We start from the raw sequence: 17,830 nt of genomic DNA, 5'->3' as shown, positions 1-17,830 counted from the left end.
TGTATAGGAGTCAAAAAAAAACAATAAAGCTTGACCCCTATCTCACATCATGCATACAATTTAATTTGAGATGGGTTCATAGACCTAATAAATAAAAGCTGAAATTATAAAGCTTCTAGAAGATAAATGAGAAAATATCTTGATCATCTTGGTGTTGGTAAAGATTTCTCAGACAAGGTACAAACAAAGCGCTAACCATTAAAAAATGGTAAATTCAACTTCATCTAAAATATTAAGAAAATGATTGCCATTCTAACTGATGTGAGATGGTATCTCATTATGGTTTTGATTTGCATTTCTCTGATGGCCAGTGATGAAGAGCATTTTTTCATGTGTCTGTTGGCTGCATAAATGTCTTCTTTTGAGAAGTATGTGTTCATATCCTTCGCCCACTTTTTGATGGGGTTGTTTGTTTCTTTCTTGTAAATTTGTTTGATTCTGGATATTAGCCCTTTGTCAGATGAGTAGATTGCAAAAAATTTCTCCCATTCTGTAGGTTGCCTGTTCACTCTGATGGTAGTTTCTTTTGCTGTGCAGAAGCTCTTTAGTTTAATTAGATCCCATTTGTCAATTTTGGCTTTTGTTGCCATTGCTTTTTGTGTTTTAGACATGAAGTCCTTGCCCATGCCTATGTCCTGAATGGTATTGCCTAGGTTTTCTTCTAGGGTTTTTATGCTTTTAGGTCTAACATTTAAGTCTTTAATCCATCTTGAATTAATTTTTGTATAAGGTGTAAGGAAGGGATCCAGTTTCAGCTTTCTACATATGGCTAGCCAGTTTTCCCAGCACCATTTATTTAATAGTGAATCCTTTCCCCATTTCTTATTTTCGTCAGGTTTGTCAAAGATCAGATGGTTGTACATATGTGGCATTATTTCTGAAGGCTCTGTTCTGTTCCATTGGTCTATGTCCAACAATGACAGACTGGATTAAGAAAATGTGGTGCATATACACCATGAAATACTATGCAGCCATAAAAAATGATGAGTTCATGTCCTTTGTAGGGACATGGATGAAGCTGGAAACCATCATTCTCAGCAAACTATCGCAAGGACAAAAAACCAAACACCGCATGTTCTCACTCATAGGTGGGAATTGAACAATGAGAACACATGGACACAGGAAGGGGAACATCACACACCAGGGCCTGTTGTGGGGTGGGGGGAGGAGGGAGGGAAAGCATTTGGAGATATACCTAATGTAAATGATGAGTTAATGGGTGCAGCACACCAACATGACACATATATGCATATGTAACAAACCTGCACGTTGTGCACATGTACCCTAAAACTTAAAGTATAAAAAAAAAGAATCAAAACTTTAAATTAAAAAAAAAATGAAAAGGTAAGTCAAAGACTGGATTCGGCTAGGTATATGTTTAACTTAGAGAATGCCAAGCAGTTTTCCAAAATGATTGTTTAATTTTGCCTTTACATTAGCATGTATGAGAGTTTCCATTGCATCACCTATTCAGCAGATTTTGGTGTTTTTAATTTGACCAATTCTAGTGAGTATGGAGATGTGTCTCATTGTAGTTTTAATTTGCAGTTCCTGGATGAATGATGACACTGAACATCTTTCTCATGAGCAAATATGGTTATTTGCATATCAGAATTTTTAGTCAAGTGATTGTTTAGACGTTTTGCTCATTTTCTATTGGGTTGCTTGGCTTTTTATTGAGTTGTAGGATTTTTTTATGTATTCTACATGTCCATTGTAAGAATTTAAATTTCTGATAAAAGATTAAAAAAATCTATAGTAACTTTTTAGCAGCTTTTTCATTCATACTAGGGACTTGTATTACAGGTTCCTTCTCTTGATTTGGATTTTGGAAGGCAAAATTTTCATCAGCTGAAATGTATTAGTTCTTGATTTCTTTTTGTTCTTACAATAGCTTTGTATGGCTATTACTTGACAATTTCCAATCATTTTGAAATGTCTTACATTTTCCTGTATCTGCAATAACAAAGTTAAGTTGACAGGGATAAAGGCTTTTGGATGGCTTTTTATGTTTCTTAGTTCAAGAGAGACACATTTGGTTTTTGAAAAATGTTTGTGTTGAAGTCTAACATACATACAGAAAAGTGCAAAAAGTAGCAGTGTGCAGGTTGACCCATTTTTATAACCCGGATAGCCTTGTGTACCCAGCACCCACAGTACAAAATAGAACACTACTGGGCCCCCAGTGGGCCTGCCTTGTGCCCTTTCTAAATCCCAGCCAGGATTACCTCTATCCAGACTTCTAACATCATACGTGGATTTTTGTCTAGTTTTGAACTTGATATAAATGGGATCATACAGTATATATTCCTGTGTACTTAGTATCTCTTACACAATCCATGTTTGTGAGATTCATGTATATAGTTGTTCATTCTCATTGCTATATCTGTTGTTTGTACAGTTGAGTGACACGTGTGTATGTTTCAGTTTGAAGGTGTAATGAAAGGTCTTGCTGTAAACATACTTGTATATCTTGTGACCCTATGCATTTGGGTGGGGCTGGATGTAGATCCAGGAGTAGAACGGCTGGATGAAAACATACATATATCAAAAGATACAAGGGTAACTTTTTTGTTTGTTTTTGAGACGGAATCTCGTTCTGTCGCCCAGGCTGGAGTGCAGTGGCGCGATCTCCACTCACTGCAAGCTCCGCCTTTCGGGTTCACACCATTCTCCTGGCTCAGCCTCCCGAGTAGCTGGGACTACAGGCGCCCGCCACGACGCCCGGCTAATTTTTTTGTACTTTTAGTAGAGACGAGGTTTCGCCGTGTTATCCAGGATGGTCTCGGTCTCCTGACCTCGTGATCCGCCTGCCTCGGCCTCCCAAAGTGCTGGGATTACAGGCGTGAGCCACTGTGCCCGGCCCACAAGTATAACTTAATAAATACTGTCAGTTTTTAAAAGAGGTTGTACGCTCCAACTAGTAGTTTATGAATGTTGCATGTATAGATATTATTACATTATATATTATAAATTTAACATTTTACTTTTTAATTTAATATTATATATAAAAATATATGTAATATATACGTGTGTGTATGTGTACATACACACATATACAGTAGTTGCACATATTTGGCTACACTTTGTGTTTCCTTTTCATTTTAGCCATTCTAATGGATATTTAGTGGTATTGCATTTCATTTTGCATTTCTCAGATGACTAATGATACCGACCATCTTTTTCATATTTTTTTTTTCTGGCTATGTATCTTGGTATCAGATATATGTATTGCAAATATCTGCTTTCACTATGTCATTTGTCTTTTCATTCTCTTATTCATACCTTTTGATAGCCAAAAGTTGTTAATTCTAACATGGTCTAATTTATCAACTTTTCCCTTTATGTTATAGCTTCACATTTATCGTTTAAGAATTCTTTGCCTAATCCATGGCCCCGAACGTGTATGATTTTTATGATTAAATTTTAAAGTTGTAAACCTCTTACTTGAAAGTTAAATATTTCCATGTAGAACTTGGATTTTTCATATTTTTAGAATGTTAGGCCATGGATGTAAGTTTATTTTACACATCTCATGTATACCATTTGTACAAAGTATGTGTTCCTTAAATATTTCCTGAATGAATGAATATAGAGATGCATGAAATGCTCTATTGTTTAAACACTAGAAACCAAAACACTGAACTTTAGAACATTTCCTGTCTCATTTTTTGAAAATCAAAGTCTAAATTTCAGAAAGTGAGAAAAGTATAATTTTCACTTGTCTGCCCATTTTAGTCAGTGTTTCAGCTTAACACAAACATTAAAAGCAAAAATATTTTGGCACTGCTGGGCTCTGATCCACAGCTCTTCTTATTCCTGGGCCCAGGATGATAACACATTCATGAGGCAGAGGGGAAGACAAGTTCAACTACACAGCTGTATTAAAATTTCTGCTCTCCTGCGCACACCGCATGTCCACTTTCATTTCTTTGGCCAACACAAGTCACATCACTAAGCCTAAGTCAATAGTTGGGAATCTGTAAATACATAATCTTCTTATAGGAAAAGAGAGTGTTAATAATTTTGAATAGTTATGCATGTTACCATTCTGTCTCACGGTAGAGTCAGTAATGTTTTCTTTAAAATGTTTTATATGTTAATCAAAATATTATGTTTATATTTAAATGTATTCTTTTTTATTTAGTTCATTTAAAGAATTGATTACATGATTTCAGCATTTGGCTCAAAAGATAGAATTTATCTATATCTATGGCAATAATTAATTGTCAAGAATATGTTTCAGTGAACGTGTGCATTTTTAATTTTGTCATAGATTTTGCACAAAAGACATTCATTATTTATTTTGGCAGTGTAAAGAGAAAAATGAGAAGATTAAATTATTTGGAAAATGCTGTGGGAAAGTCTCACATACACCATCAATTCCAATTGCCTTTTTTTATACTATAGCTTCCCTTCTTAAGAAATTTTCCTTGATCTGTGTAAAATATTATATTTTAGTTGCACTAGCAGTGCATTTTCTCATATAAGCATAAAACTTGAAAATTAAATAATATATTTTAGAAAAACACACGAACTTGCATATTTCTTAAATAGTGCATAATTTTTATGAGATTCCCACGTATATCTTGTCTAAATATTCCTGTAATTCTTACTGATTTATTTTCATTCATCAGATTTCTCTTGAATTAAAGACAAGTAGTTGTCTTCCCAGATTGAGCAATTATTGATATCTTCCAACACCCAATTCCTTGTTTTTATTCTCCTCTCTACTGCCACATAGATGACTCCAACACACTGGTAGAGAGTTTTGCTCTCTTCATGTTCCAAATTATAGCATTTTTGTGAAATAACCTCAAGCTGAGTAATTTTATAGGAATAGGTTTTATTATAATATATGATACCAAATATCACATAAAAAGTGGTGACAGAAAGATAAGATTTCTCAAGTAGTGTTACTCTGAACCATAAGGAGAGAAGCTTAAGAGAAGAAAAGAGTTGGTAGAAATATAATTGTTCTCTGCTCAGGTTGTAGACCAGACTCTACGTCTATGTTTCTGCTGGTAGATGCTTCCTTTTATCTCCCTGGTCTACCCTGATAATTAATTTATATGTCTCCCATTTCTTTCTCTATCAGATTTTTCTAATTCGTGTTCTGTACCCACCTTCTACTCATTCATTTCCTCAGTCCTTATCACCCAGCAGTCAAGAGTCTGTCCATTCTACTTAACTGAAAAAGATTATGTCATTACCAGCTCCGTAAGTTTTTCTTCAGTTCTAATTATTCTGGACCTATTGGAAGTGTTTACACAGTTAACTAACCTTGCCTCCTTAAAGTTCCCTCCTATCTAGATTTCCATTTTACAATATTATCTTGATCTAACTTTATTCTTGCCCTTGTTTTTTTCTTTTCTGAAATGTGGACATTTCCATTAAAGGCTCTTGTTCTTTTTCTACAATCTGTCTCTTAGACATGGCTTTTGATAGGTGATTGCCAATGTATTTTCCTAGCATCGTCTTCTCTTCTAAGATTTAGTTTCTCATTTCCAAATGGCAGGCAGAGTTTTCTGCATCATAAGTTCAGTATGCCTAAAACTAAAGATAATTCCTAACCCCAGATTTCCTTCCTTATCTGACATTTCTATTTCTGTTATTAATGCCCCATTTTCCTCAATAATTGGTGAAAAGAATGGACCATTTTGCCCCACACCATCACCTCATATCAATATGTCTTAATGTGCCTTTCCTGGTATGTATAGAGTTTATCCTTTCAATTACTAATTCAGTTACTTGTCTGTCCTTGTCTTATTCTCCCAAAGCACAGCACTCACCTCTTTTCTGTGTAGCTAAGTTACGTCTCCTCCCTACATTTCATCATGAATTTTGTTGCCTTAGTCTCAATTTTGAAAATCCTATTCCTGCTCTCCACTCAAATTTTAATTTCTTCCATTAATTTATGGGATATGTTTCAAATGGGTGGCTCAATCATTTCAGTGCACTTAATAGGGGAGATGAGAGAGAACAATACATCTAGTAGCAGGAGTCCAAGTGTGTTTGACTACTGAAAAGCAATTTGTTGGGGCAAACAATTCTATTCTGTGGAGTGGAAGAGTTGCCAGGAAGGACTGCATCCTGAATCTGACAGCAAGAACACAACATTCAAGCAGGCCAGAGTAAGAGAAGAAGAGAGTGTGTAACAATGAGAAATAAAAATCACTAGGACAAGTTTGTTGAAAATGACCAAGAGCATAAAACGTAGAAGATGGAGATGCAGAAGTCAAGAAGGCCAGGATAAATTTGATTTGCCTTCTTGGAAAGTCTAAAGCTTGTATCCTAAACTTAACCTTTGCTGTGACTAAAGGAATAGCACTCTAAAAATGACTTAGAACACAGCATTCTTTTTCATCTTTGTCTTCTATACAAACTTCTCAAGCCAGATTGTACAGATGTGGTCTCACCTATTTCTCCAGATTTATCTAACTGTCTCCCTCACAACCAGCCTTCCTCAAACTTTCCATACCTCTAGGACTTTGTACAATTCCCGCCAAATCCTTCATATTCTCTAAAAACAAGCTGAAGTACTATATTATCTAAAACTGTCCTCAATTTCTTTTAATCAGGTATTTTGTATACATCCCTATACCATTTATCACATTGCATTACATTTTTTTAATTGTCTTTTTTCTCAACTAGAACTCAATGTCAGTTATGGGCTTATTAGTTTTTCTTCTTTGCTGTGTATCGGAGTACTATTCAACAAATGTTAGTGTTCCATAGATGTATGTTGAAAAAACGACAGTCCAATGTTCACCAAATGATATCTGCTTTCCTGCCTTCAAATCCTAGCTAAAGTTTTTCTCTTCAGACATGGCTTCTGGAGTAGTTGCTGTCTATTGAAACTGAGTTAACCACCACCCACCTATGTAGGGCTTTTGGTTACCAGCCCAGCCTGAAGGAAGATCTCCTTCCTTTAAATTTTTATTATCCTGCCTGACTGTATTTTTACTCAAATCAGTATTCATTCATTATTCACTATTGTGTTCTTGAGATGTTATTTGATTTTCATATATGGTCTTGAGCTCTTATTTGATTCCACAGGATAATTTGTTAAGACATATACATTTAATATTTTCAACTAAACTGGAAATTCCTTGAAAACAGAGATTGTGTCTCTTACCAGTTTTAATGCATTAAGCAAAAAGCCTTATACAGGGCAAGAGCTCCACAGTATGTGTTGAGTACGTGGGATACTGAGTAGAGTGGAGATGGGGCCATGTAATGGTAGGACTGGAGATGGGGCCATGTAATGGTAGGGGGAAGGCATCATTCATAGGACTGGAGATGGGGCCATGTAACGGTAGGGGGAAGGCATCATTCATAGGACTGGAGATGGGGCCATGTAATGGTAGGGCGAAGGCATCATTCATAGGGCTGGAGATGGGGACATGTAAAGGTAGGGGGGAGGCATCATTCATAGGACTGGAGATGGGGCCATGTAATGGTAGGGGGGTGACATCATTCATAGGGCTGGAGATGGGGACATGTAATGGTAGGGAGAAGGCATCATTCATAGGGCTGTTGCATATTGCCCCTGCTTCCTAAGCTGTGGAAATTTCTATGAGAAAAGAGCATTGTATATCCTATGATATGCAGGGCTAGTATGTGCTCTGAAGGGTCAGTAAAGATCCCAAAATTCTGAAGGCTGCAAACCATTTGGTTATAGGGTGGTGTTTCAGGAAATTACCTCTATAGGCCTCTTCATGGCAGGTCTTTCCAATATTAACTTCTATTACTGAACCGATTCTTTAAACTTCATAAATATTTTAAGCAAGACCCTCTGTGTTTCTTTCACTCTTGTCAAAAACCCATTTATTTTTATGACTCTCTGATAATGTTTTCACATTGATACTCTGAGTATCCAATTTTGGGTTGACAATATGTCTTTTTGGGTTGATGAGTTTTGCATAAATTTAAACTTCATTATATATTGATTAGCAGGAATGTGGGCATAAGATTCCAAGTACTGAATGGCATTTAAAATGGGATATATTTAAAACCAAATGGCCTAGACCATGCGAGTATATTGCTGTGTATAATTTCCTGACTGTACTCACTACATCATAAATAATAATGAAAGTAAATGTACATTTATCAGAAAGAATCAACAAAACCCCAGCACTGATTTGCTGATCACACTTGTCTTACCAGGCATTAAGGCCAGCTTTCGAACAAAAGTGCCTGAAGGTTTGATTGTCTTTGCAGCATCACCTGGCAATCAGGAAGAGTATTTTGCACTTCAGTTGAAGAAGGGACGTCTTTATTTTCTTTTTGATCCTCAGGTAAATGAGAAATCATAAACTTTAATATTTTTAAGAATTTAGTAGGTGCCTGGTACTGAGGTAAATGCTTCTGTTTTCACACTGAATCTTCATTCAAACCTTGTAAGGTAAGTACTATTATTATCCCCATTTTGCCAATCAAGAAAATGAAACTTACAAAAGTAATGTGACTTGCCCTCAGCTAAAATAGCGGAGCTAACTTTTAAACCATCATGGTCTGACTGAGAATCTGTGGGCTTAACAACCAAAATGCCACCTTATAATGAAGATTAAAACTTTTAAATAAATTTAAAGAGATCTATTTTTATTTTTCTTAGTAGCAAAAAATCATGTCCCCTTTTCTTCCTTCCCTGTCTTTCTTTTTTCATTGTTTCACCAGCAAATATTTAAGTGGCTATCGGGTACTATGGTACTGGGCGTTGCAGACTACCATAGTTTCAAAGTTAAATATGACCATGCCCCTGCAAAGGATACAGTAAAATAATCAATTTAAAATTCTTATAAATTGTATCAAAATAAAGATTTAGGATTCTATGTATTATAGGAACATAAAATAAAGAAATAAATTGTTTTCTGAGTTGTCAATTTTCTCTGGAAATGTGATATTTAACTGAGATACAAATCAATGAAGAAAAGTTGGTCAGGACAAGATTATATGTCTGTATTTGAGGGTGTATATTTCAGGTGGGGCAGTACAGGGGAGATTCTGATCTCCACCTGGGAAGGTGCTGAGCATAAAGTTTCCAGGCAAAGTGAGCAGCAAATATTAAGGAAATAGCAAATATTAAGTGCCTGAGGTGGACGAGAACATGGCACATTCAGTACACTGAGATGAATCTCTTATGGCTGGGAACAGAGACAAAGGGAAAGGTGGTAGATTGAAAAGCTGGGTAGAAACCAAGTCATTTAAGACCTTGTAAGCAAATGTGAGGATATGAATTTTTCCTAAGGGCAGTGAGAAAGCACTGAACAGTTGTCTTCACTTGAGTTGAACAAATATCAGTGAGCATTTGATATTAGGTATTGTATTAAGCATGTGAGATGAGTAAGAGAAATGAGTAAGACTAAGTAAAATATATTAGCTTTCCATTTTCTCAGTTCTTCAACTTAAAACTGATGATCTAAATCACACGTTATGCTTGACAAATAAATGTTTTACATTTTATTGGTAAAGCAGACACAACGTTCACCCTCTGTATCCAAGTTGCGTCTAGGATCATGGACTGAGTGATCTGACTGAGGATCTCAGCCTCATGAACCCTGGAGATCCATTGACCTTAGAGAGAAAAGGCAGGGCCTATTGTACCAAGTGTATCTGAGGACCCTGCCAGACTCAAAAAGCAGGCCAAAGTCCTCCTGCTTTATGAAGCTGGGAGAGCCGCACAGTGGCCACTCGAAGGACCAGGGACAGAAAGGCTCCCTCCTCATGACTTGACAGGGCTCTGCTAACTCCCTGGCTGGTGCACAGCAGGTCCTCAGACACAAAGATTTCTGAGCGTCCCCTAGTAATGCAGCTTCTTAAAGGATGCCAGCAGGTGGGCAGTGAGTAAGCAAAAGGAAATAGCATCACACCTAAGCAGATCCTGCAGCCAGAGGGAAAGGAAGAAGCAGCAGCTATCGCAGAAGGCAAGACAGATGGCAACTGAAAAAAATTTTTAAAAAATCAGCTGAAGTTGATTCAATTACATAATGGAAGATATTATTTTTTATTTGAAAACTTTAAGTAGATTAATTAGAGGAGAGACACTGAGCCTCAGATTAGTAGGTCAGAAGATTAAGTTGAAGAAATCTCTCAAAATACATAAAAATGTGACAAAAACAAGAAAGTTAGATACTACTACTGTCACTAAGAAGCGAATCGGAAGGAGAACAAAAAGCACATGCTCAAGAAAAAGAGGGATAACATAAAATGATGAAACAAAAAATAGGAGAGAATATCTGATTTAAGAGGGAATTTAGTATAAATCCATTGAAAAGACTCATCAATTTCCTGTCAAGATTAAGCAAAACTAATACTTCTATGAGACCTCTTTGTGCCAGGCATTATTCTAAGTGGTCTCTCTATACATCAGTTTGTACACTTACATACACACATATGCCTATACACACACACACACACACACACACCTACACACGCACATAAACTCATTTGAACTTTTCAACAACTCTGTGAGGTAGATACTCTTCATATTCCCATTTTACAGGTGAGGAATCTGGGCCACAGGTAAGTTAATTTTCCCCAAGTCACAACACTAATAAGTGACCAAGCCAGGTTATAAACACAAGCAATTGAGCTCCAAAGACCATGATTTTAGCTACAGTGCTATACTGCTTTTCAACATGAAAGAAAGATGGTTGTTGATATCCATAAATTCAGAAAAAAAAAATCCATCTCTGCACCAGGTTGGAAAGAAATATTTCAGTAAGTAATCTAGCCAAAAGGAAAAATAACAGAGTCAGAAATATAAAAAGAAGAAGCATCAGTGAATAATAAATCTAGTAATATTAAGTTATGCCTAAATATTTAATGATAGAGTGACTAGAACTCTGTTTTACAGTGCCAAATGAGAATCTTTGAAATAGAAGAGAAGTATAGCAAAGGCAAGAAAAAAAACGTGAATAATCATTTGTTGCTAAAATTAGTAAGATTTGAAGGAGAGGAAAGATGAGTGAATTAAAAGTTCTGAAGATACCAGCTTAGTGGCGGGGTGTGGGTGGAATAAGGGAATAGATTATACTGACGTTTTGTTTTCGTTAAATAAATAGGGCAAATGTTTGATTTCAAATGTTATAGAAAAATAAGTTACTACTAATAAAAAGTGCTCTTCAGGACATCCAAATTAACAAGGTTAAAAAGGACAGCAAATGCTAAGTTAAAAAATCAACAAAAATCAGAAAAAGAAAGGGGAGAGTACAGTAAAATAGAAGACTGTCAATGAGAAAGAAAAATCTGGCTCTGCTTTTTCCCCTTCAACCTGTTAGTATCTGGAGATATTTAAGAAGAAGCCAGATGGAAAAAAAACTAATCACAGGACCACTTGTTTATAGAGCTTTAAAGTATACAAAGTGAGTTCCTGTTAATGATCTCATTTCATTCTTGAAGTAGCCCCTTGAGGTTGATTTTGTTTTCATCCCTGCTTTAGATGAAGTGGCTTAACTACGGTCATAGAGTGGTTTAGGGATAGAACTAGCACTGAATTCAATTATTTGAATAGCACTGAATTATTTTATTCAATGAAACTTTGCTAAGAATTTATTGGACTTCACAGTTATGCACTGGGAACACAGAAATGAACAGAATGACACTCATTGGAATTCTGGCCATTGGTTGTTCATCACAGATTTTGAGTATTTATAGCCACCCCCCTACCAAACATGGGACAGTCATTGGAGAATTAATCCAAAAATGATTTCCCCAAGTCTGAAGCATGACTGCCATCTCTTTTGACATGTGGTGTTGCTATTTCTAAAGGATGCGATACCTTAAGACTCTGTAGGATAGGAGGGTAAAGGGGTCAAACTGCTTAACGGAGAATGGCTGCCAGGAAACTCATCTGGCAGGTCTAGTTGTTTTCATATCCTTTACGGTGATCACCTGGACAGGCTGGTGCAAAGCGTGGTAACAGAATTCAGGGAAACATTCACAGGGCATTTGCCCATCATTTCCGCCCCCTTACCCTTCTCATTCACACAATTGCTTAGAGTACTCGTCACTGCTATTAGTTTTCCCAGTTGCTCTGTCCCTACCCTGTATAGCCAAACCCTAAGCTGTATACATAGTCCGCAGGTGCCAGCCAAGTATTAATAAAATTGTTAAAGCCACTGGGCGTGGTGGCTCATGCCTGTAATCCTAGCACTTTGGGAGGCTGAGGCGGGTGGATCACAAGGTCAGGAGTTCAAGACCAGCCTGGCTAAGATGGTGAAACCCCGTTTCTACTAAAAATACAAAACTTAGCTGGGCGTGGTGGCAGGTGCCTGTAATCCCCGCTACTCGGGAGACTGAGGCAGAGAATTGCTTGAACCCGGGAGGCAGAGGTTACAGTGAGCCGAGACTGAGCCACTGCACTCCAACCTGGGTGACAGAGTGAGACCTTGTCTCAAAAAAAAAAAAATTGTTAAAGCCAAGTTGGGGGCTAAAGGGAGTGAGGAAGGTTTAATGATGTCTAGTAAGTAAATTTTTATCTGAAATAATCTCTCTCCATAAGGTAAAACTGCTTGAGTTTTCAGGAAAGTGACAATTATTTTTTAAAATACAAGATATGGGTTGAGCAGGATGGCCTTAGGATCTAGCTGAGAAAATGTAATCAGATGCATTACACTATGTGCTCACGGGCCATGAGGCTCTCTATATATGAAACAACGAGCTTATGCTAGCAAGGACTGTGTCCTTCCTTACTTCCAATGAATTTATACTCTAAAACAGGTACTAAACATATTTTCTAAATTTATAATGAAAGCCCCACTCATTTTTAGACAAAGAAGTGTTAAAACTGAGGGATGGTGAAAATTTTGAATACTCTTCTCTTATTTGCTCTCTTTTTCCAAAGTAATATCAATGCAGCTTCTTGTATGAAGTTAGAGCTACTCTGGGTTTTAAAAAGTATAGAAGTTTATTTCATATGCCTTCTATTGGCATTACATTTATTTATATTTTAAATACTTTGGGTACCACTTTAAGTCAGTTTTTCTCCTTTAATCTTTAAATGCGGACGAGATTATCTAGTGAATACTTTTTATACTCATCACACAAGTAATTATGTACTTAGTGTGTCTGTCTTATCAGACTGTATGATCCAGTGAGGGCAAAGTCTATGAATCTTTTGCCCACAGGTACTTCCTCAGGACTTAGAACAGTCTTTGGAACATAGTAGATGCCCAGTAAATAAATGACCATTGACATATTACCTGGCTGATTGACTCAATAACTGTTGGTAGGATACTACTACTCATAACTGAAGAAAATTATCCATTTTTCTGGCTTACAACGTCTAGCTTTGTAATGATTACACAGATATTTTGTGATGTTTGTTTTATTTTTTTTTATTTTGAAAAAATTAGAGAAAAAGTCTTGCTGTTTTGCTCAGGTTGGTCCCGAACTCCTGGCCTCAAGCAATCCTCCCACCTTGGCCTCTCAAAGTGCTAGGATTACAGACATGAGACACCATGCCCAGCCTTGTTCAAATTTGTCTGTTTTTCAGATAATTTGATTTTTATCAGGAAAAAACGAGATGCTTATTTTTAAATTGTTTTTACTGAATTCATTCAAAATAGCCAAATTTTGAATTATGAAGAGAATTTCAAGGAATTTTAAAGTAGTTATCTAGCACATATTTATAAAATAACTTGAAGTCATTGTGTACTTTGCTCTTTTTAAAATATCTTAATAAAATTGAGTATTAAATTCCTTACAAAACAATTTAATACAACGTAGAGGCTATAGATATAAAAATGTATTTGGTTTGTCATCCAACTATCCGAAGCATTCTATTGAATAAATGTTTAGGGAAAGGGAGATTCTTCATAGTACATAAAATTGGAAATGTGTTTGTATATTACAAACTGGGCACTTGCCATTGTTAAAAGATACAATAAAGAAAAGTTAACTGCAACTTTTAATTACAGTTTTTATTGTTATCTCCAACAATTTTCTATAATTTTCCCATTCTTCACTTAATTAAATTCAATTTTGAATATACTTGATCAGATAATATTTTAGTGACCAGTAATGATCTATGTTTATCCCTTAAATATTCTATGTTCAGTGACATTAACAGGAAATTCACATCATATTCTGGGCTTACTTGGAAGGAAGCTGTGAAAATGAAAGCTTTAAAACAATTCTGAATAGCATCTATTGAATGTGTCTGATATGTTCCAAATAGAAAGAACAACATGCATAATATGACACCAGAAGTCATCACAGAATTGTTCTTTCAACATTGATGGGGGGAAGTAATCTTAAAATAGTCTTCAAAAAATGATATTCTAAATTGCTGTAAGTATAAAGTGAGTTTGTCATGCTGAGGCTGTAGGTAATGTACTTGAATTTGTCTCCAATAAACTTGATTTCTGATGTAGAGAACTATTAATGCTTCAGATTGTTGCCAAACAAAATATGAAGAACCACTTATTCAGACACCTGATCTTTAGAATGCAGCATCGTTTGTAACAATTTTAACGCTAACTAAGTACACTTTGATGAGACAGCATTTAATAAAATGCTCATTAATTTCATCATTAGCAAGGGTATGCTAAGAAGTAAGCCAGTTTCTTATGTCACGCCCAATTAGCATCCCATGCTAGTAATCCCATTAGTATTGTTGAATTCACTAATGGAAAAACTAATGGGCATGCTACCAGGGCACATTAATTGGGCACGACACCAGTTCTGGTTTTAATTATTAAACTACGATAATGAAATGTGTGTTTGTAAAATATTAAAATGTTGAAATAGGGTTGAAGAAAATAAAAGGGTGTGTAGACAAAACAGATATAAGGAAAGTCAACCTACAAAAATACGAAGACTAGAACTTGCCAGATGGTCATGTTTCTAGCTGATGGAGTTGTCTGTAAAAGTTGGGATATTGTCCATGTGAGAGACAACCCACTCATACTCATGGGAAATTAAAAGCTTTTTTTTTTTTTTTTTTTACTTTGGTAACATGAAATTCTGTATGTCATACATGTTGTCGAGCTCTTTATGAGGCCCGACAGGAACCAATTAAATGTGTAGAGTGGACATGTTGTATCACTGAAGCCATTTCAGAGAAAGATAAACAGAAATCATACTAAAGATGGTATGATTAACATTGTATGTTTTTCAATATACATCTTCAGCACCATTACATCAAACAATTATCTATTTTCTCTTTTTGAAAAAAACAGCATAGCAAAATTATTAGAGTTTGGTGAAATTTTCTGGTAATTAAGTGTTTTGGTAATATTTTACCCAATCTAATTTTTTTAATTTTTAAAGATTTTATTAGAATGAGCTTTATTCTTGTTAAGTAAATCAACTTTATTAAGAAGAAAATTCATTCCCATTTAGAAGTTGTAATTTCTTTTTTATTTTTATTTAATAGTAGTACTAGTAGCTGTTGGTGACAAAGTTGGGATATCTTTCACTTAGTCTTATTCACTTAACACAGAAAATGTTACTATAGGTAACCAAGGCTACTATAACATACTGGAAAATTGTTTACTTTTCTCGAAAGTAGTGAGATGGCAGGTGTTTCTTCTATTTCTCTTTCTCAGTTTTTTTTTTTATTCTTACCTCCTATTTGCTAAACTCTGTTCTTAATATCTGCCATTTCCTATGTCTTATCACTTAGGAACATGTTTTTAACTATTATATGATTACCTTAGCCAGAACTATAATTATTGGATTTTAACTACAAAGCATTGTGTACTACATTTAACTCCACCCTTATGTTTAATGTATCACAACTGGCTAGTTTTTAAGGTGAATGTCATTCCCATTTGTTATTGATAATTTTGTGAAGATAAGAGTGACTTGTCTGACATCTCTCTATCTTCAGAACTCATTTTGAGTGGTATTTTATGAGTTTTAAATTTTTCTCTTCTTTTTCATATTTATGCCATGAAACTTAAAGTCTAAAATTTTAGAATAGAAAATTCTTTACCCTTCTGATGAATAGCTATATTCATCAGAAAATGCAAGTGACTTTGTAAGAAATTCTTACTGCAAAGGTGAGACCTTTACAGATCTGTACACTGTGGTGCACAGGGAAGTATTAATACATCACAGGAAAGCCAGAATGATGCTAGACATCAGCTTTAATTTTGAGTTCTGTTTGAAATGTATGCATGCTTGTATCAGGATCATAATCTTGAAACTTGTAAATTGGTTTATAACAAATATGTGTGTGTTTATTTGTAGATATGCATGTATAAACATTTATTTATTCATTCATTCCCTTAAGGGGTCACCAGTGGAAGTAACTACAACTAATGATCATGGCAAACAATATAGTGATGGAAAATGGCATGAAATAATTGCTATTAGGCATCAGGCTTTTGGCCAAATCACTCTGGATGGGATATATACAGGTAAGTACTTTTTGATATGTATAAATAGCCCTGTTGATATGTTGGTGTTGCCATACTTTTCTGTTGTTTATATTCCTACATTCTTATTTCACCATAATTTCTACTCAATTCCATATATATTGCTGTTGAATTTGCCTTTGGGATGCTCCTAAAAGGATGAAGTCTGGCAACCAGTTTTTCATCCATGAAGGTCTTTGGTAAAGAAAAAAATAACAATGAAGTCACCTATGTCTTTTACAGTTCTTTACAATTCGTGTGGACCTTTAGTTATGTTCTGTCATCTTACTTTTGACTTCCAAAAAACACATACAGTAGAGGAAAGCAGTTTTTGTCTGCATTTGGAGATGAGGAAACCAAGGCTGAGAAAAAAGTAAATATTTTTTCCTAACTTACACAGTTGAGAGGAAGCATTCTTGGGACACACATCCTGTTTTTTCACATTTAAGTTTAGTTTTTGCTCCAGCCTACCCTATCTGCCACATTTATGTAATTATAACATGATCACTGTACCTGTATAATGATGCAGGCTTTTATTAAATTATTCAGGAAATATCTAATTTTAATCAGTACCTATTATGTTCCAGGTATTGTTCTAGGTGCTCTGGATACAAGGAGCAAAGAGAATACTGTAAAACTTACATTTTATGGGAGGAATGGGGCAGCAAAATACAGAATAAATAAATTTAAACAAATATCAAGTGGTGATAAATTCTGAGAATGAAAAAGCCAGATGAGAGGGAAAGTTGTGTGTGTATGTGCGTGTGTGTGTTAAGAAAGGTCTCTCTGATGAGGTGACATTTGAGCAGAGACCTAAAGGGACAAAGGGGAAACCATGTAAATATCCAGGAAGAGGATGCTTTGGGTTGCGAGGACAGCAAGTATCAGGGCCCTGAAGTGAGAGCACACTACATGTGGCATGTCAAGGACCAACAAGAAGGCCAGTGTGGGAAAGAGGGTGTAAAAGAGCTAATGACATGACATAAGGTCACAGAGGCCATTAGGGATCAGATTATATGGGACCTTGTGGGCTTTTACTTTGAAAGAAGGAAACTGTTGAAGGATTTTGAGGGAAGAATGACATAATATGACGGCTTTCTTTAAAAGGATCACACTAGCTGCTCTGTTGAGAATAAATTTTAAGGGGAATGAGGGTGAAGGCATGGAGATCAGTTAATAGGCTTCTGCAATAACTCTGTAATAATTCAGACAAGAAATCATGGAGACCTGAACCAGGGTGATAATTGAAGATATAATAAGAAGTATTCAGATTCTGGTTATACTGTGAATGTCAAATTAACAGGATTTGGTGATGAGATTGAGGCAGAATAGGGGTTGGTAAACTATCACCATGGGCTAAATCTAGCTCATGCCTGTTTTTATAAAGTTTTATTGGAGCACAACTACACCCATTCATTTACGTATTATCTATGGCTGCTTGAGTCTGAATAGTCTACAAAGAC

General features: G+C 35.6%; 1 protein-coding gene across 1 annotated transcript in view, besides 1 other annotated feature; it reads left to right on the top strand.

Annotated features, from left to right (window-relative positions):
• Positions 1 to 17,830, top strand: part of USH2A (usherin) — an 800,558-nt gene that overhangs the window by 318,066 nt on the left and 464,662 nt on the right. The window contains exons 22-23 of the mRNA NM_206933.4: positions 8,170 to 8,300; positions 16,244 to 16,370. Coding sequence (NP_996816.3) covers positions 8,170 to 8,300; positions 16,244 to 16,370 — 258 coding nt within the window. The remainder of the gene's footprint in view (positions 1 to 8,169; positions 8,301 to 16,243; positions 16,371 to 17,830) is intronic.
• Positions 9,542 to 10,086: an enhancer, noted in NCBI's record as "NANOG hESC enhancer chr1:216268639-216269183 (GRCh37/hg19 assembly coordinates)". NCBI's record gives its function as "activates a minimal SCP1, AML or CMV promoter by ChIP-STARR-seq in primed H9 embryonic stem cells {active_cell/tissue: H9 hESC(primed)}" and the evidence as "EXISTENCE:reporter gene assay evidence [ECO:0000049][PMID:30033119]".

Source organism: Homo sapiens, chromosome 1, assembly GCF_000001405.40.
Source record: "Homo sapiens chromosome 1, GRCh38.p14 Primary Assembly".
Taxonomy (NCBI): Eukaryota; Metazoa; Chordata; class Mammalia; order Primates; family Hominidae; genus Homo; species Homo sapiens.
The sequence above is the reverse complement of the archived record's forward strand: the minus strand, read 5'-3'. Positions and strand labels throughout refer to the sequence as shown.